General features: G+C 43.4%; 1 annotated feature.

Annotated features, from left to right (window-relative positions):
- Positions 2,359 to 3,558: an enhancer, noted in NCBI's record as "BRD4-independent group 4 enhancer chr12:32939152-32940351 (GRCh37/hg19 assembly coordinates)". NCBI's record gives its function as "activates an origin of replication core promoter dependent on BRD2, P300/CBP, MED14 and CDK7 cofactors, and independent of BRD4, by STARR-seq in HCT116 cells {active_cell/tissue: HCT116}" and the evidence as "EXISTENCE:reporter gene assay evidence [ECO:0000049][PMID:35650434]".

Consider the following 5,795-nt stretch of genomic DNA (forward strand, 5'->3'; position numbering starts at 1 on the left):
CTCAGCCCCCTGAGTAGCTGGGACTACAGGTGTGCACCACTACGTCCGTCTAGGTTTTTGATTTTTTGTAGAGAGGGGAGTCTCACTTTATTACCCAGGCTGGTCTCGAACTCCTGAGCTCAAGTGACCCTCCTGCCTCGGTCTCCCAAAAGTGCTGGGATTACAGGCATGAGCCACCATGCCTGGCTGAGTATGACTTTTTAATTTTTATTTATTTTTTGAAATGGAGTCTCACTCTGTTGCCTAGGCTGGAGTGCAGTGGTGTGATCGTGGCTCACTGCAGCCTTGACCTCCTGGGCTCACGCAATCCTCCCACCTCAGCCTCCTGAGTAGCTGGGACTAAGGGCATACATGCCACAATGTCCGACTAATTTTTTGTAGAGATGGGATCTTCCCGTGTTGCTCAGGCTAGTCTTGGACTTCTGCGATTGCAGGGAGTGCTGGGATTACAGGCATGAGCCAACATGCTCAGCCTATGACTTTTTAGATTCCACATGTAACTTAGATCATTCAGTATTTGTCTTTTTGTGACTGGCTTATTTCACTTAGCTCAATGTCCTCAAGGTTCAGCCATGTTGTAGTGTGTGATAGGACTTTATTCATCTTTAAGTCTGAATAGGGTTATCTATTATCTATCTATCTATCAATCAATCATCTATCTATCTATCTAGTGTGTGTGTATACACACACATACATACCACATTTTCTTTATCCATTTATCTATGACAGACACTTAGTTTGCTTCCATATCTTGGCTATTGGTTAGTTATATAGTTTTACAAATTGTTTTAGGTACTACTTTTTTTTTTTTCCTTACAGGTATGGTTCCCAAGGGAAATTTGGCACCATTAGGTCAGTTCTGTTCCTTCCAGTTCTCTCTTGGACTTGTATTGTCTATATAGCAGAATTGATTTCAGAGCATGGCTGAAGACTGCTTTGTAAAGAGCATTATCAATAGGATAAAGGGATCTAAAGTCCAAAATTTACTCACTGAGTTCAATTATCTGTGTATTCTCACTAGCAGTTTAATCTTCTAGTTGGTGTTCTAACCTAGGACAGAGGCATTATATCTCCTGGGTTTGTAAATTTTAATTTTTTTTTTTTTGAGATGGCATCTCGCTCTGTTGCCTAGGCTGGAGTGCAGTGGCGTGATCTCAGCTCACTGCAAACTCTGCCCCATGGGTTCCAGCTATTCTCGTGTCTCAGCCACCCCACTAGCTGGGATTACAGGTGTGTGCCACCACGCCTAGCTAATTTCTGTACTTTTAGTACAGACGGGGTTTCACCATGTTGGCCAGGCTGGTCTCGAATTCCTGACCTCAAGTGATCCACCTGTCTTGGCCTCCCAAAGTGCTGGGATTACAGGCATGAGCCACCATGCCTGGACTATTTTTTTAAAATTTGATTTTGCTCTAGATGTGGTGTCAAGAAGTAATAGTTACAACTAAGTTTGAGTGTGATTTATAAAAAACAAAATAGTAGCTTAAACCCAATGAAAGTTTATTTCTCTCTCATGTGTGCAGATGTCTGAAGGTAAGGGATCCAGAGCTGCTGTGACCCGGCTCCTCTCAGGTCACTGTACTGCCATACAAGAGTGGCCTCCATCCTTGTGGTTCAGGAAGGCAGCATCAGCTTCCAGCCAGGATGAACAAAGGGGGAAAAAGGAGGGCAAGGGCACACACGTGCCCACCATCTCTGAAGGAAGCCTTTGAGGAGCTGCTGGGTTGTCCTTCACTCACATCCCCCCGGCCAGCTCTCAGTCCCATGCCCTCATTCGGTAGTGAGGAGGGGGAATGCAGTCTTTCCTTTTTCTTTCTTTCTTTTTTTTTTTGGGCAGCAGCAAGATTTATTGTGAAGAGCGAAAGAACAAAGCTTCCACAGTGTGGAAGGGGACCCAAGCGAGTTGCCCGGGGAATGCAGTCTTTATTCTGAGTACCATGTGCTCTGTTAGACTTTCTATTGTGTTGGAAAAGGGAGAAAAAGGATATGGTGGAGGCAATGAGAGTCTTTGCCACATCTGACTTTCATATGAACAGAAAACATGTGTTGGCTCCAAGTTATCTTCCAAAAAAAAATTTTTTTTTTCCAGAAAAGTAAATCAATTATTACTATTGGGCTGACCTAATCCATTATTTACCCTGGGTAGTACAGATGCTGTTTTAAAACTAGGAAAACATATTATTTCCACCTGGGTTAGCGAGACCACATTGTCTTCTGCTGCAACCCTAGCAGCAAGAAGGGGAGTCCTCTCACTTTGTGTCCCTGGAAGGCTCCCCTGATTTGAGTTCTCCAGAAGGATGGGGTTTGGTGTGGAAATGGGGAGGTCAAGGAACTGTGCGGTTGTGAATAACAGATCAGCAAGAGAAGTGATTGAAACCTGGAGCCATGAGGAGAGGCTGCTGGGAATGAGGAGATTCTGCAGGTACATTTCCCCCACCCCCTCATCATTTCCTGTTTTGCCACTGTGGAATTTGCTTTCTGCTCGAAGATGATCCCTAGGACCCGGTGGAAAGCATGGGAATAAAACGGGTGGTGGTAGTGGTAGGGTCAGGGGTGGGGGGAAGAGGCAGGAGGCAGATGTTGAAGCCTGGGGGTCCCTGGGTGGCAGCCAGATCTACAAGAGGAAGTAATGGTTACCTTTTCTTGAGTGCCCAGGTGGCAGACATTTTGACAACATCATCTCATTTTATTCCCTTAACAATCCTACGAAGAACTGAGGTAAAATGGACACCCAGAAAATTAAAGTTACCTGCAGAGTCACACAGCCAGAGACAAAGTCAGAATTCAAATTCACGTTCTCTCCACTGGGTTACACTGCCAGGGCTGATGTCTCAGTGGGGAAACTAGACTATCCAACAACCTCAGGCGCAGGCCGACTTTCTTTCAGAATGATTCTGTCAATGAAAGTACAACTTTGGGTCCATAATTACAACTTAAAGGTGAGAAATGGTGGATGTCAAACAAAGGAGAGAATGAAAAAGAGGCACCATAGCTTCTGAGATGACTTTTCCACTCCCTGTTGTAAAACTGAGCATCACTTTTATTATTCTCCCTGAAATCACTGGGCTAACTGCAGTTCCTAGCTTGCCCATCATTCTTTACCCACAGATTTTCATGGACTGGGTCCTAAATGCAACACAACAATCATAGTAGAAAAACTTACAGTAGACACACCTGCAGGGTTTGAAAAAAACCAAGGTGCTCTTATAGGCCAGGTGAAATCAATTTGTTAAAAAAAAAGTTGAATTATTCCTTCATTGAGTATCTCTCTGAACTACATCCAGTTATCAATGTTGGCTGACTAGTCTACAGCCATTCTTTCCCCCCTTGCTCAGTAAAACCCTCCATGAGCCTCAGGGAAGGTAGGTCCAGCCTTCGGTGAAATGTAATTGGCTTAAAGGCATAGTAGTTGCACTTTTCTCACCAGAAACTGGCTTAGGAATGATGTGCAATGCAATTCTGGGCAATAAGAAATAAAAGATGTTTGATGGAGATTTCTAGAAAAATTTACTTATAAAAAAGGGCTCAAGAAAGGTTTATTCTTCTGGCCTTTGGACATGGCTCTCTGAAGGTGGAATGTTTGGAGCTTGATGAACTGTACTGAGAGCCAGATAAACACCCCTTGTCCTCTTGCGTATGGCACAGGTGGATGTTGGTCAGAGTTTACAGCAGCGGCATAGCTTCAAGAGTTGTCTAAGAAAAAAAGGGCTTACAGCTTCAAAGAACAGGTCTCTGACATGCAGCATAAGCTGTCCCTCCTTGGAGATTTTACAATTACAGTGCACTCATGGCATTCTGAGAAGTCATGCCATGGTCAAGAATCTTTTGATCTTTGTATAACTATGCTTTTTTTCATAAAGAACATACTTATTTTTTCATGTAACACTTAACTACCCACAAAGGACTCACTTTCTGAAGAACGGACATTCAGAGTCACTTGCCTGGGCCATATTTGTTTTCCTCATTTCTACCTGGCCTTCTATTGGGGCTTTTAACTGAACCAGCCATATCCACAAAGAGAAATTCACAAGAGATGAACTTAAAATGAAAAGCAAAGACCTCCAAACCAGGAAATTGCAAGTAATTTAGTTAGCATTTGTATTAGTTTGTTTTCACACCGCTATCAAGAAATACCCGAGACCGGGAAATTTTTAAAGGAAAGAGGTTTGATTGACTCACAGTTCCACATGGCTGGGGGAGCCTCAGGAAACTTACAATCATGGTGGAAGGGGAAGAGGCATGTCTTACATGGTGGCAGGCGAGAGAGAGCAAGTAAGAGCAGGGAAAACTGCCTTATAAAACCATCAGATCTCATGAGAACTCACTATCAGCAGAACAGGATGAGGGAAACCACCCTTATGATCCAATATGATCCAATCACCTCCCACCTGGTCCCTCCCTCAACATGTGGGGATTATAATTTGAGATGAGATTTGGGTGGGGACACACAGCCAAACCGTATCAGCATTTATTGAGTAGATACTATTAGGCACTGTTTCAAATGCTTTGTATTTATTAACACAGTTAACCCTCAAAACAACCCAATGAGGTAAATCCTACTGTCACTCACACATTACAGATAAGGAAAGCTGAGGCTCAGTGAGAATAAGAGATGTGCCTCAGCTAATAAGTGGAGAAACCACAATTTGAGCGCAGACTGGCTGTTCTAGAATGAGCCCTCTTAACCATGATGTCATACTGAACTCTTTACTCTCTAAAGATAGCAAAGCCAAAGAGACCTCCACTGTTCACCAGCACGGAGACATGGATTGTTCATTCTTGGTTCACAGGGGACTCCCAGAGAGGAGCCAAACCATCTAGGTTCACAAAGCCCCTCTGTACTTTCCAGCTATGACTTAACCTCTGTCTGCTTCGAGGTTTTCTTTCTCATGCTTCTTAAAATGTTAACAAGTAGGCCGGGTGTGGTGGCACACACCTGTAATCCCAGCACTTTGGGAGCCTGAGTGGGGTGGATCACGAGATCAGGAGATCAAGACGAGATGAAACCTTGTCTCTACTAAAAACAGAAAAAATTACCCGGGCGTGGTAGCATGCGCCTGTAGTCCCAGCTACTTGGGAGGCCGAGGCAGGAGAATTGCTTGAACCTGGGGGGCGGAGCTTGCAGTGAGCCGAGATGGCACCACTACACTCAAGCCTGGGCCACAGAGCGAGACTCTGTCTCAAAAAAAAAAAAAAAAAAAAAAAAAGAAAAAAAAGAAAAAGAAAAAGAAAAGGATGATTTCATGAGGCTGTGAGAAGTACTCAATATATGTCCACTATTACCCTATCAAAGCTAGTCTCATAACAGCCTCCCCCTATTGATCCTGGTTTCATCCTCTGTGTTATGCCAGAACAAGCCTATCATCTTCTCTACAGTGGGCTTTCAAATATGTACAGAGAGGTGACACAGCACCCTTCTCAGGCTAAGGACTGCTGGATCCTTTCACTGAGTCTCCCAGACTAGGGCCTTCAGGGCACTTTCCCTTCTGCTCATATTTTCAACAATTCTTATGCCAATGCTTGGGATTTTTGAGCTCTTTCCTGAACATCATATCACAAAGAGTTTTTCTTATAGTCCTTCAAAGGTTAACATTTACTTCATAAGTGATGAAACTGTCAGTATCACTATAAACTAAAACATGAAACTTAAAGCAGAATTTTATTTTGAAAAGTTTGCTCCCTTATCTATTTTCCCTCCCACAAGAAATACTTTAATCCAACAGTGAGTCTTGAAAAGAGCCAGTTATATGGTCATGTTGAGCATTAGTTGAGTGTATGACTGTATGTTTTTCTTT

The sequence above is a fragment of the Homo sapiens genome, chromosome 12 (genome assembly GCF_000001405.40).
Source record: "Homo sapiens chromosome 12, GRCh38.p14 Primary Assembly".
Taxonomy (NCBI): Eukaryota; Metazoa; Chordata; class Mammalia; order Primates; family Hominidae; genus Homo; species Homo sapiens.